Here is a 27492-nt window from a genome sequence, read left to right as displayed (position 1 = left end):
ACTATTCAAGGATAGCTGCTACCAATTCTCAATAGCCACACTTCCTGTTAAGTTGCCTAGAAGTTTTTAGTTTCTCATTTCTGAGGATCAAAAATCAGATTCTATGATCTGTAATTTATCCTATTCCTACCTTTTACACAAGCAAATTATTTTTCTAAGATATGAACAATGGCAAACCAAGGCTTTTAGTAATAAATAGAATGCAAAAAGCATGATTAAGGAGTGCCTTATTGTTCACTGCAGAGATACTCCATACCACTTTAGGGACAGGCTGTAAACTTTTTTGACTGTATAAACCATTAGTAAAAACATTTGAGCATTCTCTGAATATATGAATATTTATAAATTATATACATTACCACTGAACTAATACATTATGCATATTAGAAAACATATACAAAAATAAAATCTTAAGAGGTGGAGACTTTAATCAAATAGAAAGAAGCTTTAGTGTTTTTTCCTGCATCTCAGTGAATGTCTTTCACATGCCTTGGGGCTTTGTGCTTCACTTTGGAGACCACATTCTTCAGTATTGCAGTCTATACTTTCTATCCTCATTTCTCCCCTATCTGAGGTATTCCCATTTCCTTCAAAATATTCTTGCTGTTTCCTGTGATTTGTGAAACCAACCTCCTAGGGGCTTTGAACCAGCATTGTGTGAAAATATTCAAGGAAGTACCATGTGTGTTGGCTTCCATCCCCCCCCAGAAATATCAGGGGCATGTGCTTTGAATTACCTCCTCTGAATCACCATGAAAATATAATCTGCTACTCAGCTTTGAATAAATCAGATTTCTCTGTGACAAGGAAAGCCTTACATTAAAAAATTCAATCCCCCCCCATTTCCTATAATAAATCGATACTGTTTTTAAGACAGATGAATCATAACATAGGTGCAAAAGAATCAGAATTTTACGTGCCTTATAAAAATATACCTTACAGTTAATAATTACTTAACAGGATGACAAATTAGAGTCAGAGTATCTTAAGTCCTCTTTTTCCAGTACTACACTCACAAAAAAACTTCATTAAAATTTGTTTGAAAAAAAAATACTTACGTGCCCCAATGTACTTTCATGGAACAAGTCTTCTGCATTACACCAAATCCCTGCATTTCTTCAGTATCATCAAAGTAGGAACTTAGGATTCCTAACCCTTCTGGTTCAGTAAATAAGTCAATGTGACTAACTCTGTAATCCTGAAAAAATATAGATGCATAGATAGTAAGAATTGCACCATGTATTTCACTCTCTAGTAAGCTCATTCTTCTTCTTCTTACAACTAATCAAAATGAGCTTTAAATTTACAAACACATTTCACAGAGCACCTGCCATTTTAGCCCTTTCCTGTTTTCATCCATGAATTAATAATACACCTATTTCGGGGCAGACACACTTGCTTTAGTTATATAACTCAGTGTTGCATTCAAGCAAAGATCATCAGAAATGTATTTTATTTGAGTTTTGGAATATATTTCTTTTTCTCATCCTCACTTGGTCCTCTTTGGTCTGGGGTTTTGGTTCCTTTGCTCTGATATAATTATCCAAGCACAGAGACTCTAGTCTGTAGAATGGCTGCTCTTGGAGTCTTCCTCAGCCACTGTTTTGTGTCCATAAGCCCTCTGTTGCTTTGTGGTAACTCTCCTTGACTGAGTAAACCTCTATGATATTGGTTTGATCTAAGTCGTAAAAGCAAAAGCACACATTCATAGTGATTTACAAATCTCTGTACTTTGGTCATTGTTCCATGCCCCGCATATCTGTGGTCCAAACAGTCTTCAAAAGGCCTCTTCTGGTCCAGTGCCTAAGCGTTAATGGAATATTTATTGAAACTCATCTATGCAGCTGAGTTGGGTGAACTGAGTGACAGAAGAAATATTAACACTTGAATAAGCTCAGATGAGGCTTTTCAAATATTATCAAAAGGAACAACTCTAATGAGCTAAAAAGGTAACCTTGAAAATATACGCTGTGACTTATGTTTTATGTTTCAAGAAACCATGCACACGATCTGTGAAGAAAATATAATCCATGACACACTGGGAGCCATGACATATCATAGCCCTTTAACATGACACCATTCAGAAAAATGTACCCCAAGGAAACAAATTAGAAAATTATAAATTACTGGCCGGGCACAGTGGCTCATGCCTGTAATCTCAGCCCTTTGGGAGGCCTAGGCGGGCAGATCACCTGAGGTCAGGCGTTCGAGAGCAGCCTGGCCAATATGGCAAAACCCCGTCTCTACTAAAAACACAAAAATTAGCCAGGTGTTGTGGCATGTGCCTGTAATCCCAGCTACTCTGGAGGCTGAGGCAGGAGGATCACTTGAACCCCTGGGAGGCAGAAGTTGCAGTGAGCTGAGATTGCACCACTGCACTCCAGCCTGGGCGACAGAGCAAGACTGTCTCAAAAAAAAAAAAAAGAAAATTATAAATTATTAAATGCACAAAAACATTCTCGTGGCATTACTTATAATAGTAAAAAACTAGAAACAACCTTAAGATTCACTGAAAGAAGAAATAATAAATAAATAATGGTACCTCATTTATGTACTAAACAATAAATAATGTATCATTTCAATGGAATATGATATTCAGCTAAACCCTAAACCTGTGGTAACATGAAAAGCATTTGCTACAGTAAGTCTGCTATTATCAGACAAAACAAGAGATCTCGTTTCCCTTCCCCATCTTCCTGAATGCACCCAAATCCTCACCCCACCAGATTCTGATACCTTCCCCAGTTGCCAATCACAAAGATGTTACCAAGGGGAGTGTGATTTTCAGGAAAGTGGTATAAAGAGAAAAAAAGGATTGAGAACCACAGTGTTAGGTGAGAAGGGTGGAACAGCATTGTACCTGTATTATGATTATTACTGCAGAAAAAGCAGACTAGAATATGGCCAACAAAGGGTAGAAAATTCAAAAAATAAAAGGGGAGGGGACACTTCATGATGGTGGGAATCAGATGATCTTTTTAAACATTGCTTTATTTCCAATATTATTTGAGCAGTAAATAAAAACTCTAGGCAAAATATTCCACTAATGAGGACATTTTGAAATAGGGTTTCTCAAGTCTTACTTAGTCTTCTCGTATTATATACTTAAAACAAATAAAAGATAAATCATTTAGCATACCAATTACCACCTAAGTTACTCAGAAATGTTGACTCAGGAAGTAAGCGATGCTTTCCTCTGCCAAAACTGTTACTCATCCTTACTCATTCTCATGTAAGAATGTTCCTTTTCTCTGTATTGCATCTTGACACTCGTCTCCATTAAAACTTGGGATTTTAATTTTCTACTTAGAAGACATCATTAATTGCATTTTTAAGGTAAAGAATCATCAAATCCTAAGAGCCACAAAGAAAGACTCTGACAACACTTTCCTCATCAAATAACAAGAAACCAAGAAATTTTACCTCACCCATAAAGTGGCCTCAAATAGAGTAAATAATATTTTGTTAAACCCACATGAAATCCCAGAGTTAATCAACCAAATTATTTTTGGATTATTTATTTTTCCAAAATAGAATTCCTATAAACCACTCAAAGTAATCAGAACTCATACAGCAAACAAAAACACTAAATAAATGAAAAACCTGTTCATAGAGGCAGAACTCATTTAAACCAAGTTACCAGGTAAAATATATTTGGAAGATGGGAATAGAAGGACAGGCATAAAAGATCTACCTAAAGGGTTTATTGTGAAAAATTATCTAACCAATTATGTTTCTTTTTAAATTATTTAAAGTGTACAAATACTTAAAATACAGAAAATATATCCATAAGGCACCAAATATGTTTCCCAATCACATATTTCGTAAAATGATCATTTCCCTTAAAGTAAGAATCCATAAATATTAGCTGAATAAATAAAATCCATATTTACCACAACCTACCTGAACCACATGTCTGATGGAACCAATCACCACTGGCTTATCAGACTCTGCTTCTTCGTGCCTTTCCAAAATGTCTTCTATACCCCAGAGACCAGAGAGTTCCAATTCTCCTTCTTCTAAGGGGATGGAGTGCCCTTCAAAATTTGGTTGCTCATACAAAATCCAACTAACAATAAAACACAGCAAAACCATTAGTCAGTCTTCGTGAGAGAGGTTTTGATTACTCAAATAACCTGGCTAATTGCCATTTTATATATATATATAGAATATTAGCAGCCAATTATCTAGCAATTAAAATAGCTTAAACTCTCCCTAACACTAATATTTTACTGGGTATAATTAAGCCTCTGATAACTCATGAACTATATCAGGATCTTAGAGAACTTTGGAGTTACCTATATGAATGCTATAGAGCTACTAATGTTCTAAGTAATTGCCAAGTGGTAGAGACTTATGATAATATGTCAGATAAATGGATGTTTACTGTACTAGGTTTTTTTTTTTTTGTCTCTTTTTTTTTTTTTTTTTTGGATACAGAGTCTTGCTCTGTTGCCCAGGCTAGAGTGCAGTGGTGCGATCTCGGCTCACTGCAACCTCCGCCTCCCTGGTTCAAGCAATTCTCCTGCCTCAGCTGCCCTAGTAGCTGGGATTACAGGAATGTGCCACCAAGCCTGGCTGATTTTTGTATTTTTAGTAGAGACTGAGTTTCCCCATGTTGGCCTGCTGATCTCGAACTCCTGGCCTCAAGTGATCTGCCCACCTCGGCCTCCCAACGTGCTGGAATTACAGGCATGAGCCACCATGTCTGGCCTTTTGTCTCCTTATATGTGTAGAAAACATTTCTCTTAGAGAGACTTTAACTTACATATTACAGTCATATCAATGAATATGTTGGCACAAAAGACTATAGATATGGTAATGGAAAGCATTTTAATAATATTCTTCCCAACAACAGCCAAACACTAAAGAAAAACCTCATGTCAATATATGGCAGTGTAAATGCTTATGCTTTCAAGAAAAAGAAGCCGACAAAAGTTGCAAAAGAAAGGAAAAAGTACTGTTCCATAAAAACAAAATTTGTGTAAAAAATTGCCACTATTATATATTGTATATTAGTGGCCAATTCTCTAGCAATTAAAATAGCATTTGTCTTCAAATTTAAGAATAAAAGCAAATCTTGTTTTTCTCATGACTATGTTGGATATATAGGAAAAAATATTAAAACACCTAAAAATCTAATAGGAAAGCTGCTGCATATTTAATCAAATGGAGACCAAAAGAAAAGCTTATGAATTTGTAAATCCATAAACATTCAGAGGTCTACCCTCTTTACTTCAAACAAGTTTACAAGTAGGCACCAAAAGATAACTATTATGCCAGATCAGCGATTTCTTTTTTTAAGCTGCCTTTCTCTACCCAACTTCCTGTGTATCTCCAAGAGGCAATGAAGCTGATAAAATGATTTCAGAAACTGTCAAAATATTTATTTTTTTCACCAGTTTCTTTACTTAGCCAAAACAATCTTTTGTGGAAATATTGGAAAGTAAATTAAATTTTAAGTTAGTGCTGCATTGAACTGTCATTAAAAAGTTAGAAAAATGCCTTTCTTTATAGATTATTTTTGTTTTACCTTATAGATTTTTTTTCCTTATTGTTTCTTTACTTTGCCTTTTCCTACGTGTTCTCAAGTTTCCTTATAGGTTTTTGAAAAGTCGTATCTGGCCTATCAACATAACTAGTGCAATTCTTATCAACCTCATTTAAAGGTCATCAACCAAGAGTATGTTATGGGCCCTGATATATGACTAGTCCAAAACAATATTATGGGGAAGCATGGGAAAAAGAAGCTTGTTCTACTGTATTGTTCTGATTTTTCTCCCATAAACATATATCACTGCTATAATCAGAAACATGATTTAAAATGACATTGTTAAGATATGAATCCCTTATCTTACCACGAGTAGTATTTCCTGTGCTTTTCATTGCTAAAGCCATAATTTTAAACTAGTAGTGAGGACTAAAAAGTTAATTAAGTATGTAAAACTCAAACACTTGACATCAGGAACTTAAAGTGCCATTCTTACCATCCTCTAACAACTTTTATGAGTATCACTGGAGAGAGGCTCCAAGAACTGCAATCCTGAATGTCACTGAAAACTTCAATGCACTTCTCAGAGACGTCGGGTTCACTATATATCACTACCTGCAAGAAAACGAAAGTGGTAGCACACTTTGTTGTACTCTGTCAGACCAAAATAGAATCAAGACTAGAAACAGAAAATAATCTTACCTTTCCAGGTCGGGGATTGAGTTTATTTTGGACACTTCCTCTAAGTGTCTGCAATCAGATGAACAAAAACACAACAAATAATTACAACTTCACATAACGATCCTCTTTTTCCACCCACGATCCTGTAGGTAGATCACACTTTTCCCACATTGTATCGATTTTGAAACCTCCACTCTAATGGATGCTAAAGTTGTATTAAAACTCTTTGAGTTTATGCTTTTAAATTGAGGTTTTTTCACCTCTAACTGAATTTGCCATTTCAATTTCTCCTAATTTAAATGTCTAGGCTATTTCCACCAATGCTAGAAAATTCAGGGCACATATGTTTCATGTCAGTTCACAGAATAGGAACTCAGCTAAGAGATTCTAATTCAAATAATATCAGTATCATCTCAAATAAAGATAAATTAGAATATATTAATCACTTACCTAGAAAGAGCTGAATCAATTTTGTGTTCATATACATACCCTATCTGAATCCATATAAATATTGTTTTCTCATAGTAAATCTACAATCATATAACAACCACTAGTCTAAATAGAAGTGTTTATGGTATATATGGTATATTTCATAATGTACATTGCACATAGTATATTTAATCCCCCTTTTTTTTCTTTTGAGATGGAGTCTGGCTCTGTCACCAGGCTGGAGTGCAGTGGCATCATCTTGGCTCACTGCAACCTCCGCCTGGGTTCAAGTGATTCTCCTGCCTCAGCCTCCCGAGTAGCTGGGACTACAGGCATGTGCCACCAGGCCCAGCTAATTTTTGTATTTTTCTTTTAGTAGAGATGGGGTTTCACCATGTTGGCTAGGATGGTCTCGATCTCTTGACCTCGTGATCCGCCTGCCTCAGCCTCCCAAAGTGCTGGGATTACAGGTGAGAGCCACCGTGCCCGGCCTAATCCCGCTTTTTTGATAGACAAAATACATTTCAATATGGCTCCAAAACTAATCATTTTCAAGACCATCTGACAAGACCAGTAAAACCAGAAATGCATAAGATAATAAAATAGTAATTATACATGTAAAAATATTACAAAACGTGAACTACTTTCAGTGCTGACCAGGATGCCTATTTTAGGAACTGCCTTTGCTCTGACTGCTCTTGCATCACACCAGAGTGTGATATGCCCAGAAGACCACAAAAGGCTGGGGCGCAGTGCCTCACACCTGTAATCCCAGCACTTTGGGAGGCTGAGGTGGGCAGATCACCTGAGGTCAGGAGTTCGAGACCAGCCTGGCCAACATGGCAAAACCCCGTCTCTACTAAAAATACATAAATTAGCTGGGCGTGGTGGCACTCACTTATAATCCCAGCTACTTGGGAGGCTGAGACATGAAAATCGCTTGAACCTGGAAGGCAGAGAGGTTGCAGTGAGCTGAGATCATGCCACTGCACTCCAGCTTGGGTGACAGAGCGAGATTCTGACTCTAAAAAAAAAAAAAAAGGCCATAAGGGCCCCCCTAGAGCCTTATCAGAAGCCAGATGGTATATACCTATTTATGTATATATACACATTAGAAGTAGATAAACTGAAGAAAAAGCCTAAAATTTAAAACAAAATTCAGGTAAAACCTTCATGATTGAATATACAATCAATAAAAGCCCAGGACCTAAAGAAAGACCATATTTTTTAATCATAAAAAGGCCTAGAAAAAGTATAAAGATTTTATTTTTCCTTTTTATGTCATTTGACTTGATTTTCATAGGGAAACTGTATATTCTGTTATCAACTTTGTCAGACTGTAGTTAAATAAGGAAAGCGATCTAAGAACAATTAAAAAGAACAAAGTAGTAATGAATGGGAAGTGGACCAGTGGAAATTTTGTGCTTGAGAGAAATAGTTAATATTTCTATTATATAACTATTAATAGAAATAGTTAGAATTTTATGATTTCTGAGTACCATAGGCTGATTCAGTCTTATTTGTTTATAGCAGTGGTTCTCAAAATGTGGTTCAGAGGCCACTGCGGGGGTCTCCAAGATACTTTCAGGTAGTCCATGGGGTCAAAACTATTTTCATAATAAGAAGAGGTCACCTGCCTTTTTCATCTCTGTCTCAAATGTCCAGCGGAGTACAAGGCTCCATGATGTGTGATGACATCGTTGCTCTGAGCACTGGTGCAGTGTGCACTTCTACTTTCTGGTGTTTTACAATTTTCTCAGCAATTATTTATAATATAATAAATTCTGATAGGCAGAACCCATACAAACAAAAGCTCGTTGGGGTTCTCAATCATTTTTAAACATAAAGGGTCCTAACACCAAACATCTGAAACCCAAACTTTATGAAAGTTTATGAAATCACATGAAAAAGGGATCTGCACCTCTGCTGGAAACCCAACCATATATTTTGAAAGAGCTTGCAACATCACATTCTCTGACAGGATTGTAGTAAAAGCCAATACAATACATTGAACCATGCTGCAGTACCCTGTACAGACGAGGAAAGGTGCAAGGTATTTTCTGCCTAGATAAACTGTGTTGGATTGAGGTCCACACTTGCCAGACAGCCGGGTTCACAGGATGGACCACCAGAATACAAACCCTACTCAGGTTTCTAGCCTGGCAGAGCTGATCACTAAACATATATTCCACCTTCCTCTCTCATAGTCCTTTCTCACCTTAAATAAGCTTGGTAACAAAAAGGCGCAATTCACATCAAAAACCGAGTAAAGTAAACATCTTCTGAAGTGAGATAAAAGAAGATGCAGAAATCAAAATTATTCCCCAAAATCATGTTTTGCTGTCTTCTCTCTAATATTTAAGAAAAGATCCAATGAAAACCAAAATTCTTTATTCCCCACAGCTTTGCAGGGTAAAAAAAATATTTCCCTAATGAAAACTAATTCCCAATAAAGACAAAATACTGTCTCAATTGCATAGGATAAACACCTATTGCTACTTATGGGAACAAAGAGTGAATCTCACAGAGAGAAGGATTAAGAAAAAGTTTCCCTGGCTGGGGACTTCCCAAATAGAGGAAGCTCCTTCACAAATCTTCAAAATTCTAAGTATAGCACTGAGCATTTTTACATAGAATAGGTAAGAAAAAGCAACTCATCTGTCTCTGAACTCTAAAAGCTTACCTATACCTTTCATAATACAACATATAAATTCACATGTGCCTTAAAAGATTTATTGCCAGCCAGTCAGGATGGCTCACACCTGTAATCGCAACACTCTGGGAGGCCGAGGCAGATGGATCACGAGGTCAGGAGTTCGAGACCAGCCCAGCCAATATGGTAAAACCCCCGTATTTGTATTTTCAGTCTTTACTAAAAATACAAAAATTAGCCAGGCGTGGTGGCACGCGCCTGCATTCCCTGCTACTAGGGAAGCCGAGGCAGAAGAATCGCTTGAACCCAGGAGGTGGAGGTTGCAGTGAGCTGAGATTGCACCACTGCACTCCAGCCTGGGCGACAGAGCGAGACTCTGTCTCAAAAAAAAAAAAAAAAAAAAAAAAAGATCATGTGCCTTAGAGCATTTGTAGCTTTATCTCCCTGCAAGACTACAGATGCCTTCAGTGAAGACTCTTAGTACATTTTTTTCTTGCACTCTAACGGTCCCTTGTACATTGCAGGTTTTCAAATATGTGATGAATGAATAAAAACTATAGCACATAAGCTTAACCATTTCTAAAAGAATAACATGAGTTGCTCATCATCCTTCTCTTCCCTTGCTTTAAAAATACCCCAAATAAATAATAACACATTGCTACTTACCATTGTGTCTGATAATGACATTCCAGAAAAAGAAATGCTTGGGTCATACCGGCTTGATTTGAAAAGACCCATGAAGTCGGTGTCACTGTTTGCACAGTTTGGCAAGTTTGATTTAATAACACTTTCAATATGATTAGCCTTTTCCATATCATCATTCTTCAGTTTTGACAATTCAGAAAATTTAGTTTCTGGCAAGTGTAGGTTGCTTCGTGAATCCAGATCTTCTTTGGTTTTCTCTTTTTGCGGGTATTTTTCCATGTGGCTTGGACTTTTCAAACTGGAGTGTGATGTACTTGACGAGTTGAAATTGAAGACCTTTAAGGAGTTGTCGGGCAGAAGATTTGACTGTTCTTTGTTCAAACCACAGGGCGGGGCACCCTCAGTCGTGGGCTGTGACACTGAAGACTGAGATAGGGAACCGTTCTGAGAAGTACTGAAAGCCGTGGTCATAGTGTTGACTGATGTCACAGAAGGAGAAAAGATTTTGTCTTGTGGTAAAGAAGATAACAAGCTTGAGAAAAGTGCACTTTTTTCTAGTCTCGATCTCTTAATGCCACCATTTGTGACGTCCCTGTTCTCTTTGTCATTGATTTCCGGCATCACCAGAGGCTCACTGTTCCCATTAGTGTTGGTGTGCAGGGACTTGAAGAGGACGCTCTGTTCAGCAGATGCACGTTTGGGTCTCAGTTTGGATTTTGTGTCAAGGTTCTGCATCAAATGTAAAGCCGGTGACATTTCTGGCTGACTTTCCTTCTTCTTCCCCAAACCAAAGGTAAACACTTTGGGATCAAACACCTTTTCTAAATGGTCTTCGTGAATAGGAGGCATGGCAAAGTGAGGAGCAGGAGAGTTTGGCATCCTGGCCTTCTTTCTTTTCATGGGCATACAAACTGCGCTATCCATCTGTTTTATAATTTCAGTGAATTTTTCCATATCAGAAGAAGAATCAAATACACTATCATCACTACCAGCAGAAATGTTCAAAAGGCTGGCAGGGCTATCCTGGCCATTTGTAACAGTCTGATCTGGCCTTTGAGGAGTGGCTAAGTGATTTCCGCTGCTGGGAGAGTTGGTGGGACTGGATTCAGCCATCAGGGGTGTTCTGCTGCCCTGACTTTGAGCCTGAATAGGCAGAGTTTTCTCTGATGCTGGCGGTATGACTTGTGGGCCAGATTTTGCCGCGAGCTCTGCTGTGCAATGAGAGTGTTCATTGCCCAGTACTTCCTCTTGTGGGGGAGCACAACTTGCAACGGAAACCACTTCAGGTTCATTACTGTGACAAGTTGGCAACTGCACTTCTCTAACTTCAGAGCTCTCTGGGATGACCTGGGAGCTCACATCCTGGGTGCTCTCCACGGGGAGCACGAAGGACCTGACCTGGACGAGGACTCTGGATGGACACTCACTTCCCACAGCTTCTGGACTACGCTCTGTGGACAAAGGAGGGGTTGTTTCTCCTCCAAGTTCTAAAAGTGGCATTTTCTCATTGTTCTGACGAGACACAGGCAAAACACATCCTTTATGGTTTTCTGACACTTTTAGATCAGTGCATGGGAAACTGCTTATGGGTGATTGAACACATGTGTCTTTGGGAACATCCCCAGGAGCGGGTGCAGACAGTGAAAGAGAAGGCCCAGGAGATGACTCAGCAGGGGACTGTGAGTCAGAAAATGTATGCTGTGGCTTTGGCATGGCCGTTGGAGGTAAATCTTTGGTATCCACAGTGGTGGGGATGTCTTGTGCTGTATCGGTTACATTTTCAAGTACAAGGCTTTTGCTGTCTGCAGCCTCTGAGTCCTCCTTCTCTAAGAGCTTATGATCCTTGACAGGAATCAGAGCAGAAGCCACTGGTTCTGAAAGGCAGCCAGCATCTGTTTGTACATCTGCTTTATCATCTTGGTTAGGCTGAGGACCAAGAGCTTGATTCTCAGAAGAGTCTCCATTCATTCCTCTGGTTGCTGGCAGAATCTCTTCTTCCGAGACGGTAACTTTGGTTTCTATAGCAGTTTCCTTAACCAGCACACCATTCTGGGGACTGTTTGGCATTACTTTCTTTTCAGGTTGCTCCATTTCTTTGGCTTTTTTGGCTAAATTCAGCTTTGCCCTCCCAACAAACGTTTTACTAGAGGCAGGAGTATTCCTTTGGCCTCGAATGTCAGTGTGTCTTGGGCTACTGTTTGTCCGTTTGTTTTCAAATAAGGAGATTTTGGTGGCAGTGTTGCCTTTGTGAACTGGCTGGCTAAATGGATTGTGCTCATTTCCCAAACTGTCAAGATTCTTAGGGGTTTTAAGATTTAGTTCCACATGTTTGGGCTTGGCAGGGCTGTGAGGAAAAAGCAGGAAGATAAAGTTATTGACCTAGTTTTAAAAAGTGAACACACAAACCAATTAATTATAAAACTATGAAAAGCCAACATCTCCCTGATATATAACATTTGGAGTGTGGTGTGTGTGTGTGTGTATGTGTGTGTGTGTGTGCGCACACATGTGTTTTTAAGACAAGGTCTTGCTCTGTCGCCAAGACTGGAGTACAGCAGTGTGATCATAGATTGCTGCAGCCTCGAACTCCTGGGCTCAGGCAATCCTCCTGCTTCAGCCTCCCAGGTAGCTGGGACTACAGGCACATATCACACACCCAACTAATTTTTTTATTTTTATTTTTTTGTAGAATGGGGTCTATGTCACCCAGGCTGGTCTCAAACTCCTGGCTTCAAGCAATCCTCCCATCTTGGCCTCCCCAAGTGCTGGGATTACAGGCATGAGCCACCATTCTCTGCCACATTTGTTTTTTAATGAAACTATTTTTAAATAGTCCTAAGTACACTACCAACTATTTTTAATGGGTGTTTTGCTTGCATATGAGGGATCGGAAGATTATATAGCCAAGAAACTCTAGGGATGAGGGATGAACTAATTTATTGAGTACGTAGCATGTATGCACAGTGCTTGGCACTAGAGTTGGAAGACATCTTAAGGCCTGAACAACATTAGAAGAAATTTAAATATTTAATGCATTCTCATGCTCCAACATCAATTATGTATTTTTATTTTAGCATAACTTTTTAAATATTATCTCAAAAGGATAGATTTTAAAAATTCATCTACTATTGACCGCTTTGGATATTTTATTCATCTCATCCTTCCCCCATAAGATTTTCTCTGATTATAAGTGTGTTCACTATAGCAACTTTGGATAATATTTAAAAATCACTGATAATCCTACCAGTCAGACAATATCCCTGTTAACATTTTTATATGTTTCTAATCTTTTTATATGCATAATTAAATATTTTGAATAGAATTGAGATTATTCTGTTCATATAATTTGATATCTTGCTTTTTCAAGAAATAAAATGACTTAACCTTATAGTTAACATTTTTCAGATTACCAAAAAATTTGTTTGAAAAGTTGTCTTAATGCTGCATGGAAGTCCATCATATGGATGTACCGTCATTTACTTATCAATTATGCAACTGTTGGTTTTGTCACCACTTCTTGGGCAAGAGAGTCTCCCCTCTCTCCGTCACATTTCTTGGGTATAATTACCCCCAGTGGAAATAATAAGTCTTTGAATGTACACAGTGCTTTCTTTCAGAGAAACAAAATGTGCTCTGTTTGGCATTCTCTGGCTCTGGTCCTGGCTTTTATGCTAATTATCTGTGTGAACCTGGTCAAGTTACTTTACCTCTCTGGACTCTAACTTCTTCATCTTTAAAAAAAATGAGATGGTTTAGAACAGAGTTGTTTTTATTTCCCCCAACTTATGGTTGAAGGAATCCCTGGGGTTCTCTTCAAGGGCTGCAGTTGGGGAAAGTAGGGATGAGGATGGGGCTGTCCACTCTCCTTTCAAGCAGAATCACTCCTAGTATCTGTTTTATTTATTGCTCCTATTTAAACTTTCTTAGAAGAAAGGATTCCAAAGCTTATATATATGTGTGTGTGTATATATATATATGTGTGTGTGTGTGTATATATATATGTGTGTGTGTATATATATATGTGTGTATATATATGTGTGTGTGTATATATATGTGTATATATGTGTGTGTGTATATATATATATGTGTGTATATGTGTGTGTGTATATATGTGTATATATATATGTGTGTGTATATATATATGTGTATATATATATGTGTGTGTGTGTGTATATATATATGTATATATATATTCCAGTACTTTGGGAGGTCAAGGAGGGAGGATTGCTTGAGCCAAGGGGTTCAAGACCAGCCTGGGCAACATACTGAGACCCAGTCTCTACAAAACAAACAAAAAAATTAGCCAGGTGAAGTGGTGCGTGCCTGTAGTCCCAGCTATTCCAAAGGCAGAGGTGGGAGATCACTTGAGTCCAGAAGATCAAGGCTGCAGTGAGCTATGGTCATGCCACTGCACTCCAGCTTGGGTGACAAAGTGAGACTCTGTCTCAAAAAAAAAAAAAAAAAAAAAGTCTAAACCATTAGTCCAGTGGTTTATAAAACGGGAGAGATAAAGCATAACCACTAACAATCAGTGATTGTCAAGCCCTTGACAAATGCTTCATCGGGCTTACTTAATTAATATACGACTTTATACATTCTATTTTTGGCTGAGGAAGTTGAAGTGTTGAGAAGTAACTCCCTGAGGTTATGCAGCTGATAAGTGACAGGGCCACAGTTTGAAGTGAGGTGCTCTGGCTTCAGATGCCATGCTCCCAACCACTATACTATTCTGGTTCCCCAGATAGGCTTGGACTATACCCGCCTGAATGAGCTCCTCTGGTTCTTTCCATCTTTATCATTTAAAGTCAGTGAATTATCATGAGATCCATAACATAACATAGACTTTAGAGGCCACTTTGATAATGAGAACACACAAGTGGAGACACTGAAATCCCATACTGCCTCTCCTTCATGGACTTGGCCTTCATGAAGCTTGAGCCTGGCTGGGTGTGGTGGCTCATGCTTGTAATCCCTACACTTTGGGAGGCCAAAGCGGGTGGATCACTTCAGGTCAGGAGTTCCAGACCAGCCTGGCCAACATGGTGAAACCCTGTCTCTACTAAAAATACAAAAATTAGCCAGGTGTGGTGGCACAGGCCTATAATCCCAGCTACTTGGGAGGCTGAGGCAGGAGAATTGCTTAAACCTGGGAGGTGGAGGTTGCAGTGAGCCAAGATTGTGCCACTACACTCCAGCCTGGGCGACAGAGTGAGACTCTGTCTAAAAAAAAAAAAAGAAGCTTGGGCCTAAGGAGCTTCTAGAAGGGACAGGCAGTATGACTGCTGGTGAGTCAACTTATCCTTCTGGATAAAATATTCTCTCCAAAAGCAGCACTGAGAATTCAGATTTTAATTTTTACAAATTTTACTTGATACTAAATTTGAGGCTGGGATCAGTGGCTGATGCCTGTAATCCTAGCACTTTGGGAGGCCGAGGCAGGTGGATCACTTGAACCCAGGAGTTTGAGACCAGCCCGGGGAACATGGCAAAATCCTGTCTCTAAAAAAATACAAAAATTAGCCAGACATGGTGGTGCGCCTGTAGTCCCTGCTACTAGGGAGGCTGAGGTGGGAGGATCACCTGAGCCGGGGGAGGTCGAGACTGCAGTGAGCCATGATCATGCCACTGCACTCCAGCCTGGGTAACAGAGTGAGATCCTGTCTCAAAAATAAATAAATAAATAAATAAATAAATAAATAAATAAATAAATAAATAAATTTGATCTCTGCTCATAAATTTCTCCCAGGCATTGCTTTCCCCAATATCTCCATAAGATACTTAGGCTCCCTTATTGCAGGCCCATACCTTAAATTTAAAAGGAAAATTAATTTATAAGCATTTCCTCAAAGATCAAATTATGAAACTAGTGAGATGATTAGAAATAGAGAGCTTCAATTTGCTATCAGTTAATGAGGGATGGTCACATACCAGAGAATATACTTTTTAAAAATTCTCACTAATCATTTCAAGGAAGGGTACTCAATTCAAACATCGAAGTATATCTTATGATGTAAATAGAAAACACTACAGGTTAGCCAACAGGCTACCTTAAGGACAGGAAACACGTATCTGCACATTAAAGATTTACACGAAGATCAGAATAAATTTTACAACCAAACTTTCTGTGCTATTAAGTTGTGCTACCAAGAGTTACTACAATTAACCTACTTCAGACTGATTAAAAGGAAGGCTCCTATAATTCATGTTGTAATGCCTTCATTATGAGACAGGGGAAAATAATTTGGAGTCCAAAAAGCCATAGTTATATTATAAGAGGAAAATTCTCCTTATTCTACATATACCATTTTAAGAATTTCAACATTCAGCACTTGGTAGAGAACTTGAAGTAATAATTTTTCTAACAGCATAAAGGAACATGCTACTTCAGTGTCATTTTTCAGGAAATACGAAATAGTTTTTCTTACTCTTCAGTCTCAAATTGTTTTAAAGAATAATCTGATTAACATCTTGCGATACGGTCATAGGAAGAATTAAAGGGTCTGAAAAAACCATCAGTCACAAAGAAATGGGTCAAAGGACTAGAAATACTTATTAATTTTTAAGTCAATAATTTGCCAAATGACCATGTGCAAGGCACTGCGCAAAACAAATACATTGAATGTCTGGTAAAGAAAATTTTTAGGTATAAATTAATCAGAACTGGGAAAGACATATTTGGTTTAGTTCTATTACAGAGAACAGCAAACGAAGAATTTCATTATAAGATCATCTTTCCTGTTTGTTTAGCCTACTATTTCACAGTGTAACATTTCTGGTTTTTCTACTGGTGTCTTCTAATTGGAAGACAGGTGAACCATCCTTCATAAGGTACACAGCAATGTTTCTCTAAGGCTCACATTTAGGAGGCTTTAGCATTCAATCACACTGGTCTTCTATAAATAATAGGCATCATTCACCCAGCTCATTTCTCTGATGCTACCTACCATCACAGAATAAATCACTGACTATATCAAAGGTCTCCAGGTTGGCAGTTGGTGAGGTAGTCAAGTTATTCATTACGCATACTTCCCTCTCAGAGTTCTCAGAGTTCTCCCAATCAGAACTCTCCTCCTCTTAAGCTTACTTATCCAAGAAATCAAATAGAATGAAAGAAACCATTAGGTTCAAGAATTATAATGATAATGTTGTTAAAATACCCACTCCTTGAACAAATATGTGAATGGAGGAAAAACTTAAGCACTTAATCATTATTCACCTGTGCTAAGTGGGAGTGGTGAGGGAGCAGAAGTGTGAGAAGGGAGGGTCTTATCAGTTTCATAGAGTACCTTCCCTATCCTGTCCACCTATACAAATTGCATTTATCATCAAGGCACAAGGCCCAGCTCCCCCAAAGCACCAGCAGTGATTTCTTGCTCGCTAGCACTTCCCCAGGATTTACAGATGGTAACATTCGTTTGGCAGTTTCATCAGATATCATCTTGTATTGTTATTTGATTTGTGTGCTTTTTGTGTGCCAGATGGGGCTATAAAAATTTCAGGGCAATATCCTGAGTCACAGTTGTAGGGTTTTTTTCCCCCACAGTGACTAGCACAATATCTTGCACAGAAAGTATTAAATAAATTACTTGTGAAATGAATAAACTTAACAGCAAGTAGTCACAGTTGTTTTGTGCTTTCATGCAGCACAAGGAGGAAGAAGCAACCAAGATACATAAATTAGGGACTTTTTGAAAAAGGCTTAGGCCAATAATGCACTAAGTTCCATAAAATGTTTTGGAATTATCTTAAACTCACACCTGTCACAGCTGCTTTCATGTAGCAAATAATCTTCCAGTAAGAACACTGATCTTTATTTCAGTAACTGAAAACTACTTTTCAGCCTGGGTCCAAAAGTATCACCAGACTCCCTAACATTATAAAGGGGAAGAAGCAACCAAGATACTTGTATTAGGAACTTTTCTTGTGTGTTTTTAAGCTTTTTGCCAATAAATGCACTGAGTGCCATAAAAGGTTCTGCAAATTCTCTTAAAACTCACACATGTCAAAGCTACTGGATCGTATTTAACATGTTACTGTTTGCTCCATATTTTGAAATTCACAGCACATGCATTTTAAGAACATCCCACCTTGGAACACCCTTGTACATTTTGAATAAAGAATAGAATCAGCTCATGTCAGGCCATGAGGTCTTATCTCTCATCTACATAAACGTTGAGCTTCAACGGATATCCTATTTTTACATTCGTTAAACTTAAATCTTGTGTTAAAAAGGGAATTAACTGAGGAGGCTGCCACAGGTGTCATCTTAAATCTTGACTGTGTAAACTGGCCCTTCACTATCTTAAGTTCAGCATGGAGGGGAAAGTTCAGTGACCAGACGTTTCTTCCACAATGCAGATACCCCGAGCCTCTCAGAGCGGACCCCCAGCACGTGTGCGGACAGCAACTCGGCCGGGACTTGCGCGGCTACTTACAGGGTCACTTTAGTGGTCACTGTCGACCTGCCCACGCCGAAATGGTTCCTGGGCTTCAAGCCGTCGGCGTCAGAAGCTCCAGGCGCTCCGGCCGCTCTGCCCAGCTCTCTGCTTCGACCTCCCTCTGCCCGGCCGTTGAAGTGGTTGGGGAGCGGGCCCCTCTTGTGCTCGGGCTTGATCTCCGGCAGCAGCGAGCTGCTCTTGACCGGGAGCTCGCGGGGGATGGCCCGCGCCGCCTCCTCCCCGCTCTCGGCCGCAGTGCCCTTGGTGACTGGGCTGGGATCGGGCACCCTCTTGGGTGGGGACTCCTTGGCGGGAGCCCGGGGGCCGCTGGCGGGCGGGGCGGGCACGGCCTCGAGGGCACGGCTCCTGCCCTTCCTCTTCGTGGGGGACGAAGCCGGGGGTGGCTGTTTGCTCCGGTCCGACTCCCCTCGGAGCTGCCCTTTGGTACCGGGGCTGGGCTTGGACTCTGGGCTCGCAGCGGAGGCAACGCCCCCGTCGAGGGCTGCCCGCGGAGATTTCACTTTCTTTTCCGCCGAGGCGTTATCGCTGGCCGCGTTTGGCGCCACCTCGTCGTCGAACACCGCGTCGTCCCTGGCAGCGCTCTCAGGGAGCTCGGCGTCCGCGCCGGGGGAGTCGGTGGATTTCTGCGACCCCCTCCGCCTCCCCGACCTACGGCCGCTGGACCTCTTCTCCATGTCGTCCCAGTCACCGCAATCTTCCGCTCTGGGAGTAATCACGACCGGCTCGTCCACTTGTGCCCCCTCAGTCTTACTCAAGTAGATGTCCAAAGTTAGCACCTTAGCAGGGTGGGCGTGACCCTTGGGGCGGGCTGTGCAGTCTGCCTGCGCGGAGCTGGCCGTGTGCGCTGCGCCCTCGGCCGGAGGCTCACCTGGCAAATCAGACGCGCCCTTGGGGGGCTGGCTGCGGGCGTTGCGGGGCCCCAGGGAGCCTTCTTCGGCACACACACTGGGGGCTCCGTTAGGGGCCTCGCCTAGTCCTCCCGCGGGCCGCTCCTGGGTGGGCGACCCTGGCGCACCCCTCACACCCAGGAAAGCCTCCTGTTCGTGGCCAGCACCTGGTGAAGCGTCCTCCCCCGGACTGCGGGCGGGCGTCTCTGCGTTCTCTTGCCTGGAGGAATTTCCCGGCGAGGAATGCAGCTGCTTGGCAGTGGTGGTGGCATCTGGGAAAGGCTCTCCCTCTGCCTCCAGAGGTTCTAATTGGGGTGAATCATTTTCATGGCACTGCTGCACAGCCACAGCCGCTGCACTGCTGCTCCAGCGAGGTGACAGCTCGGCGTCAGGGGGGGCTGCGGGGCCACCGCTCTCGGGGAGCTCGCCCTCTGCCTCTCGGGGATTCTCCCGCGGGGAGCCCTCCTCGCTTGTGTCCGTTTGCTTCAGTTGGCTGCTCTGAGATCTGCTCCTCTCACTCTCTCTCTCTGGGAGCTTAGGAGAGGCTACCACATCTTTGGGAGAGAGTGGTTTGGCATTTGATCTGGTGGGACTCTCTAACCCGTTTCTACTGTTTCTTCTCCTTCCTGCAGTGAATAGAGTGCCAAGTTTCCCCAAAACTGGCTTCCTTCTGTTGTCTTCTGGAGGTTGTGCTCTGGACTGAAAAATAAAAGGGATGAGGAGGGAACATATGAGAATCTGGTGTTTTTCCCCTTAGACGTACATTACAGAACCACCAGCCAAAATGATAACAGACCAGAGTTTCTAATTGAAAATGATAAAGTTATGTTTATGTTACATTCATTCCAACAAAATAAACTCTGGTTTTACTTTTGAATTTTGCTTAAACACCTTAAGTTTCTGGCAGTAGTCAGAATAGCATTTTCTTTGAATTATAATTCTTGTTTTTTAAAGGAAAATTTGAACGGTCCAAATAATCACATATACAAAATAAATAGTTCCTTGCCCTCTCTAGGTTTTTTACCTTCTTCCTCAATAAAGATGCAATTTATAAACAGCCGTGCATGTGACCATGGGGCAGCAGTAAACACACTAAAGTATCCTAAGGCGGACTTTTTCCCGAAACACCGCCCATTCTTTTTGTAGGAGGGAAGGAGGACGAAGAAAAAAAACCAGTCCTAGCAGCCTTCTCCTCCAGAACAGTAAGAAGCCACCTGGGTTCAACATCTAGTACTTGCAACATGAAAACCTTAAGCAAGCTCGGAGGAAGCAAGCACCTGGGCCCCGCCTTAGCCGGAGCTCCAATGGGAGGAGCGCGCGAGCGTTCAAACACCCGAGTGATCCCGCGGCTGCAGAGCGCATCGGAAAGGCTTTTGCCTGTGGGAGTTCCTACCATGTGAACACGGAGGAGTGCGTGGGGGTAGCGGGCGAGGTTGCAGGGGTGACCGCCTTTGCTCACCGCCCCCTAGAGCCGAGGAGGTGTGGCTGAAGGATGCGCTTGGGACTCTGCCTACTCCGCCCCGGGACCCGTTCCTCGCCACACGTGTGGTTCCGGGGTCGCACGGCTGGAGCCCCAGGGGCCGGCCCACCTATGCGAGGGTGCCGGGCCGCCTGCGAATGATCCGCAGCGCTCCCAGGAAGGGGGAAAACCTGGGCTTCTTATATCTCCTGGAGCAAAACGGCTAGCATCCAGTGCCCGCGCCAGAAGGCGGGAGGGAGCGCAGAACAAACCAATAAAAGCAAACCCGCCAATGGGCGCGGTGGCGCTCCGGGGTTTGCCAGAGTGGGGACTGGGTAGGTGCGGGGCATAGAGGTGGGCAGGAAGAGGAGGAGGCGAGCCTGGGAAAGCGGGGGAGCAGGGGCGGCGAGCCCAGCCTGGCTCCTAGGAGAGGGAAGTGTATTTGCGTAAGGACTCCTCTGAAACCAGGCCAAACGTGCGGCTACTGTATTTCTTAAGAATCAACTTTTAAACATTCAAAACCTAGGTGCTAGCTTGAGTCCTGGCGACGCAGGAAAGAGCCCCACCTTTCCTGGAAAAGGAACATTCAGGACAGTACCGACTACGGGGAGGTTCCCCAATCACCCTTTGAAGCTCCATTGCGTTTGAGTTACATGCAGCAAATGGACTTTGGCGATGGGAAATAGGAAAGATAACGCATGAAATTAACAGGTCAACAAGCATTTGTTGAGACAGTCCTGGTACTGTAACATAGTGTCACCCCGCTACAGCCCAGTAAGGTCATGCTGTTACCACACAGATGAGGAAAGGAAGCTCAGCCAGCCTATAAAGAGACACAAAATTGGGGTGGGGGGGAGAGGCGGTCAGAGCAGTAAAGTCAGAATTCAAATCCAAGTCGCCTCCTGCCCACCCCATGCTCCTTCCATTCAGCCACAGGGGCCCCTTTCAGAGGCCGCGGAGGTTCTGCCGCCACCCGAGAACCACAGTCGGCCCAGAGGAACAGACTACGGGTCACCCACCCCCCAGAGTCAGCTCCCGGGGAAGTGCGCATGAATCAGATTTGCTCTCAAGGTTCTAAGACTCTCCTGGTCTTAGAAGCGCCTGGTGGGCGCTTTGGGACTAGACAGCTGCTGCTGCTGCGATGAACCAATGGTGCAGCCGCTCGGAGCTCTTGTACCCGACGTCATACGATTTTAAAATCTAACCAGATTTTGATTAATCCGATTCTTCAATGGTTATATAAATAATATAGGAAGAATTCGAAGTATGATTTAAGGGAAAAAATTAAAATATTGTAACTTCCTAAGGAAACATTTGGATTATTTTACAAGTCAAAGGTATGACATGATTTTTAAATCATAATACATGTTTACTGAGCTATCCTTATGGGTCAGGCCCTTGTGATTCACACACTTTCATTTTATCTTCCCAACAGCTAGGTAGGTAGTCTTTTTTTAGTGCCCGTTTGTCCAAGGTCCCACCACAGGTAAAGTCTGACTCTGACATAGAGCTCTGTGTCTCTGCTGTCTGGACAGGCCTTCAAACGTATCTTGAAGTAGTAGCCAGGGAAAATAGGTTTGAGTCTTGGCTTAATTCCATTCCCTGTCAAAATAAACCAACTAAGTATATGTATTACTCTGTCCTGCCAATGATGTTGCAATCTGCTTTTCCCATGCAGCAGACGCTTGATCAGCAAGCAGTCCTCTCTATGCTTAGTATAGGCATTAAAACAATTTTTTTTTTTTTTTTTTTGGCTATTAGATGCTTTTTACAAAACTGGTTGCTTGCTCTTCAACTTGGCTCAACTACTTGACTCCTCCCCCCCTCAGAGGGGCAGCCTGTTTATCACCAGCCAGACTGCTGAATTTCCTAAAAATACATGAATGTTCATAGTGGCTTCATTCATTCATAATAGCTAAAAACTGGAAACAGCTCAAAGTCACCGGACATGGCTTGTGAACAGATAAACAAATTGTGGTACATCTACACAGCAGAGTATTATTCAGCAATAAAAAAGGAACAGACTTCTGAAACATGTAAGGATATGGATGCTAAATGCTTTTGCAGACTCCAAATGTTACATACTGTATGGTTACATTTATATGACATTCTAGACAGTGCAAATCTAATCTATAATGATAGAAAGTAGGTCGGTGGTTGCCTGAGGGTGGGGTCAGTGGGTGGTAAGTGGTGGTGGTGCAACAGGGAAGAGGCACAAAGGAACGTTGAGGGTTAAAGTTCTATATCTTGATTGTGGTGATGGTTACACATGAGTACTTATCTTTCAAAACTCATCAAACTGTACATTTAAGATGGGTATATATAAATGAAGTTAAGATACAATCTCTTTAAAACAGAGTTTTCCCCCTGGGAAATAAAGAATAGAAATGCACTGTGTGGCACAATCCATCTGTCTTGGGTGCACATTTCACAGGGTCTCACTGTATTGACCAGCCTGGTGTGCAGTGGCACGATCACAGCTCACTGCAGCCTCAACCTCCTAGGCTCAAGTGATCCTTCCACCTCAGCTTCCCAAGTAGCTGAGACTATAGGCATGTGCCACCATGCCCAGCTAATTTTTAACTTTTTTGTAGAGAGTTTCACCATGTTGCCCAGGCTGGTATCAAAGTCTTGGGCTTAAGTGATCCTTCTGCCTCAGCCTTCCAAAGCGCTGGGATGATAGATGTGAGCCACCGTACCCAGCCACGTTATGCAGTTCTTAATGAGGGATCTCGTGTCATTTCAAATGATAGACTCGTTGACAGGGGAATGCAGTCTTCTCCCACGGGACCAGGTCCCTGTGGATATCCAAGATCATATCTCCAAACAGGATCATCTGAGCAGGGCTCAGAATGCCCCATACCTCCTGAGTAAAGTCCTCAGTCACATCTTTGAGGAACACCCCTTCCTAAATGCGATACGTATTTCTTTTCAACCAGGAATTGTTTCTTTCCATTGTTCAGGGGGAAACTAAGGCAAATGGAGACAAAAAACTAGCTGGCCTGGGAGTTGTCAGAGAGGGACCTTCTTAGGTTTGAGCCTTTGGGTCTGGGGTCTTAAACCTAGGATGGGAAGCCACAGACCCACCACCTTTCCAGGCTTGATGATAATTTGCTAGGAAGGGGAGTGTTTTGCAAAGAGGCCATGAGTGACCATCAAGTTTCTTCATGCTTCCTCAGATTCCTCTGCCCCTGACTTTCCCACAGGCCTGGGCAGGGTCCTGAGGGTTCCCAGGCTGGGTGTTCTCAGAGCACATGCAATCCTGGGTCCTCCTTTGTATTTACCTTTTTACTGTGTATTTTCTGCCCACCTTACTTAAGGCAGCCTGCACACCTTACAGTGCAGAACCTGCACTTGGCACCCTTCCATCATCCATGTCCAACTGGGACGGAGCAGTCCACAACAGGACTATTGTAGAGGTGGCACATGGGTTGTGTGCTACGACCTGCTTTAGAGTGTTCTTGTTGGCTAATATGAAATGTGGCTCATTAGGGGCACATGTAACCATCCACGAGATCATATTCCAGCAGCGTGTAGAGGCCCAGGCAGCACTAGCTGCAGTGCTGTTAGGTGATTCTCAACCTTCGTGGTGTGGCAGCGCCTACTATATATACTACTATATATTCCTACTATTACCACTTAGTAAATGTTACCTTGTAACATTTGCTACCCATTAGTTAAGGAGATAATGTAAATGGTAGAGTTTTTTTGAAACTGTTCTGGTTCTGAAGCTGGCCGAATCATGAATTTTTCTTTTTTTCCTTGCTTAAATAAATTCTGCTAAATTTGACTATCTAAGGGTTTTTCCTTTTTATAGTAACTATGGGAACAAAACTAAGTTTTTAAATTTTAATACAATTATGGGTCATTGACATTTGTTTTATGTTTATAATCTGTTTATATCTTTAAGAAATCTAGACTGGGTGCAGTGGCTCACACCTGTAATCCCAGCATTTTGGGAGGCCGAGGTGGGTGGATCACCTGAGGTCAGGAGTTCGAGACCAGCCTGGCCAATGTGGTGAAACCCCGTCTCTACTAAAAATACAAAAATTAGCTGGGCATGGTGGTGGTTGCTTGTAATCCCAGCTACTCAGGAGGCTGAAGCAGAAGAATTGCTTCAATCCAGGAGGCGGAGGTTGCAGTGAACTGAGATCACATCATTGTACTCCAGCCTGGCTGACGAGCGAAACTCCATCTCAAAAAAAAAAAAAAAAAAAAAAAAAGTGACAAGAAATCTAATAACATTTTGAGTAAAGTGATGTTTCTTATAAAAAATAAATAAATAAGTTTTCCTATGTTTCCCACCTTTTCATTCCCCAGTGAATGTAAGCTCCTTGAGAACAGGAAAAATGTTCTGTTGCCTTTCCAACAGCTAGCATGGGGGACTGACAGCTAGAGGTGGACATAAAGTATTTGCTGCTACTAAAGAATTAGTAACATCCCTCCTGCCTTTCAAAAAAGGAGTTGTCAATGCTCTTGGAGACAACTAGAAACATTGTTCTAAACAAATCAGAATGAAAATCTTATCTGCCTAAAACTTAGTGTGGTCAAGACTTGGCAGCTTTATTCTGCCAGAGTGAGGATTCCACGTGTTGATGGAGCTACCGGTGCACAGGTTTACTGCAGCCTCTCAGCCCAAATCTGACTCAGGAAAGTGGAACAAAATCTTGTTACATGTACTCACCTGTGCATCCTTCTAAAATGTGGTCATCAATGTACAAAAGTAACTTTTTTTTTTAAACACGTGTGATTCCCTAAGAGCTCTCACTTTGTTGATTTCTGAAAGATACCTTAGCTTTTCAATTCAGCCACATGGGAATGAGTCAACTGGATATTACTGTAAATGATAGGATTGGCCATGTTACTTGTTCACAACATATGCATATGTGTGTTTGTGCTAGTGAGCAACTTTTTTTCCTGAGCAGTTTTTTTGTAAAAAAAAAAAAATAGCATGAGTTGTGTGGCTTAAAAATATAGGAATTTGAGCTACTTTACACTTCAACTTTAAAAGTTAAAATAGGGGTTAGAAAATTCTGTTCAATAGAAGCAAGAAAGACTTTAGACTCGTGACAGCTAACTAAAGAACGAAGATGGGGAATGGGGAAGGGGGAGAAAAAGGAGAAACACACACAGAAAAACAAGGCCAGGCATGGTGGTTCACGCCTGTAATCCCAGCACTTTGGGGAGCTGAGGCCAGCGGATCACTTAAGGTCAGGAGTTCAAGACCAGACTGGCCAAGATGGTGAAACTTGTCCTACTAAGAAATACAAAAATTGGGCCGGGTGCGGTGGCTCATGCCTGTAATTCCAGCACTTTGGGAAGCCAAGGTGGGCAGATCCTGAGGTCAAGAGATCGAGACCATCCTGGCTAACATGATGAAACCCCGTCTCTACTAAAAATACAAAAAATTAGCCGGGTGTGGTGGCACGTGCCTGTAGTCCCAGCTACTTGGGAGGCTGAGGCAAGAGAATTGCTTGAACCCGGGAGGCGGAGGTTGCAGTAAGCTGAGATGGTGCCACTGCACTCCAGTCTGGCAGAGCAAGACTCTGTCTCAAAAAAAAAAAAAAAAGTTAGCCAGGTGAGGTGGGGCATGCCTGTTGTCCTGTGCCGGAGGATCACTTGAACCCAGGAGGTAGAGGTTGCAGTAGCCAAGATTGCACCACTGCACTCCAGTCCATCTTAAAGAAAGACTTTTATGAGACATGATTCTTTTTTTTTTTTAATAACTTCCAGGATATTCATTCTGAAGACTTTTAGAATTAAAGTTAAAATTGTATTTTCCCATGATAAGTGTATGGCAGAATATCATCTCAGTATCAGAAACACCAGGCAGATGAAGTTAAGTTTAAGGGAGGATCCACATACAGATCCCTGATACCACAGACATTGATTTGGAATAGGCATTAAAAATAAATTAACTATCCTCCCCACCTTTCCGTTTGTGTTTTCCTTTCTGATATTGATTGGGATAATATATGTGGCCTGTTCTATACACACACACACATATACACACACACAAACACACACACGCACAGCAAAAAGAATAAAGAAATGTTCACATAAATGAACTCTGATCTATTAAGCACAGAAGCTTTTCATTTTAACTTTTAAAATATTTTCTATTATATATGATTCAGTTACCTAAGAGTATACTAGATATAATTTAGCTACTTCTTTATGATTCTGGAGACAGAACTATGAACCTCTGTTACTACATTTGTGCTACAATAGTGATTTCTTCCAGGGCTGTTAGAAGGAGTGAAGACTACGGCTTACACTAAATGACCCACAGACTGTAACACTGTCTGGTAGTAAGCAGATCTCTTATGAAAAGGTATATGAAACTGTGACATTTGGCCATTTTTGATCTACAGTCCAATTTCATATGATATAACCAATAATCCTTGAGGTTAGGGCTTCAGAACCTTCTTCTCCGATGTCACTGCTCCCAGTCTCCCGGGGTGGAATGTCTGCTTGCCCCATGCTGCTTCTAATATTTGTCACCACTTCTAGTGCCCACCTCATCTCTGATGCTATTTTTCTTTTTTTAAAAAAATCTTTTTTCTGTCATTTCAACATAATGTAACACATACCTCTCTACTTACACCTCAATGGTTGTGGTTTTTTTTTTTTTTTTTTTCTAATGCTGTCACTTCAGGCCAAACAATAATATCATCCTGTTGGGTACAATCAAAGGTATACTATTGGGTGAAAGAATAGTGACAGACTTTTTAACTTCCAGATTAACCTGTGTCCTGAAAAAGAGGTGTCACTGAATACAAAAGCCA

The 27492-nt window shown here is 41.6% G+C and overlaps 1 protein-coding gene across 3 annotated transcripts in view, besides 11 other annotated features; it reads right to left on the bottom strand.

Annotated features, from left to right (window-relative positions):
* CRYBG1 (crystallin beta-gamma domain containing 1) overlaps positions 1–27492 on the bottom strand; it is a 211301-nt gene that overhangs the window by 40644 nt on the left and 143165 nt on the right. For 2 of the 3 annotated variants that reach the window (XM_047418270.1, NM_001371242.2), the window contains 6 exons: positions 18335–19944; positions 9921–12243; positions 6194–6241; positions 5988–6106; positions 3904–4069; positions 1059–1198 (listed from right to left, as the gene is read on the bottom strand). In XM_047418270.1, the coding sequence (XP_047274226.1) occupies positions 1059–1198; positions 3904–4069; positions 5988–6106; positions 6194–6241; positions 9921–12243; positions 18335–19944 (4406 nt within the window). Of the gene's footprint in view, positions 1–1058; positions 1199–3903; positions 4070–5987; positions 6107–6193; positions 6242–9920; positions 12244–18334; positions 19945–27492 lie in introns of those variants that run through there. The other variant, NM_001624.4, reaches the window with a different exon arrangement.
* Positions 10408–10457: an enhancer, noted in NCBI's record as "active region_24891". NCBI's record gives its function as "activates an Ori minimal core promoter by ATAC-STARR-seq in GM12878 lymphoblastoid cells {active_cell/tissue: GM12878}" and the evidence as "EXISTENCE:reporter gene assay evidence [ECO:0000049][PMID:35858748]".
* Positions 10910–12109: an enhancer, noted in NCBI's record as "CDK7 strongly-dependent group 2 enhancer chr6:106967140-106968339 (GRCh37/hg19 assembly coordinates)". NCBI's record gives its function as "activates an origin of replication core promoter dependent on BRD2, BRD4, P300/CBP, MED14 and CDK7 cofactors, with strong dependence on CDK7, by STARR-seq in HCT116 cells {active_cell/tissue: HCT116}" and the evidence as "EXISTENCE:reporter gene assay evidence [ECO:0000049][PMID:35650434]".
* Positions 11198–11687: an enhancer, noted in NCBI's record as "active region_24890". NCBI's record gives its function as "activates an Ori minimal core promoter by ATAC-STARR-seq in GM12878 lymphoblastoid cells {active_cell/tissue: GM12878}" and the evidence as "EXISTENCE:reporter gene assay evidence [ECO:0000049][PMID:35858748]".
* Positions 18550–18819: a silencer, noted in NCBI's record as "silent region_17433". NCBI's record gives its function as "represses an Ori minimal core promoter by ATAC-STARR-seq in GM12878 lymphoblastoid cells {active_cell/tissue: GM12878}" and the evidence as "EXISTENCE:reporter gene assay evidence [ECO:0000049][PMID:35858748]".
* Positions 18940–19099: an enhancer, noted in NCBI's record as "active region_24889". NCBI's record gives its function as "activates an Ori minimal core promoter by ATAC-STARR-seq in GM12878 lymphoblastoid cells {active_cell/tissue: GM12878}" and the evidence as "EXISTENCE:reporter gene assay evidence [ECO:0000049][PMID:35858748]".
* Positions 19110–19179: an enhancer, noted in NCBI's record as "active region_24888". NCBI's record gives its function as "activates an Ori minimal core promoter by ATAC-STARR-seq in GM12878 lymphoblastoid cells {active_cell/tissue: GM12878}" and the evidence as "EXISTENCE:reporter gene assay evidence [ECO:0000049][PMID:35858748]".
* Positions 19231–20189: an enhancer, noted in NCBI's record as "H3K27ac-H3K4me1 hESC enhancer chr6:106959060-106960018 (GRCh37/hg19 assembly coordinates)". NCBI's record gives its function as "activates a minimal SCP1, AML or CMV promoter by ChIP-STARR-seq in naive H9 embryonic stem cells {active_cell/tissue: H9 hESC(naive)}" and the evidence as "EXISTENCE:reporter gene assay evidence [ECO:0000049][PMID:30033119]".
* Positions 20917–21522: an enhancer, noted in NCBI's record as "H3K4me1 hESC enhancer chr6:106957727-106958332 (GRCh37/hg19 assembly coordinates)". NCBI's record gives its function as "activates a minimal SCP1, AML or CMV promoter by ChIP-STARR-seq in naive H9 embryonic stem cells {active_cell/tissue: H9 hESC(naive)}" and the evidence as "EXISTENCE:reporter gene assay evidence [ECO:0000049][PMID:30033119]".
* Positions 20917–21528: a biological region, named in NCBI's record as "H3K4me1 hESC enhancer GRCh37_chr6:106957727-106958332".
* Positions 21112–21171: an enhancer, noted in NCBI's record as "active region_24887". NCBI's record gives its function as "activates an Ori minimal core promoter by ATAC-STARR-seq in GM12878 lymphoblastoid cells {active_cell/tissue: GM12878}" and the evidence as "EXISTENCE:reporter gene assay evidence [ECO:0000049][PMID:35858748]".
* Positions 21449–21528: an enhancer, noted in NCBI's record as "active region_24886". NCBI's record gives its function as "activates an Ori minimal core promoter by ATAC-STARR-seq in GM12878 lymphoblastoid cells {active_cell/tissue: GM12878}" and the evidence as "EXISTENCE:reporter gene assay evidence [ECO:0000049][PMID:35858748]".

The sequence above is a fragment of the Homo sapiens genome, chromosome 6, assembly GCF_000001405.40.
Source record: "Homo sapiens chromosome 6, GRCh38.p14 Primary Assembly".
NCBI classification, from domain to species: Eukaryota; Metazoa; Chordata; class Mammalia; order Primates; family Hominidae; genus Homo; species Homo sapiens.
The sequence above is the reverse complement of the archived record's forward strand: the minus strand, read 5'-3'. Positions and strand labels throughout refer to the sequence as shown.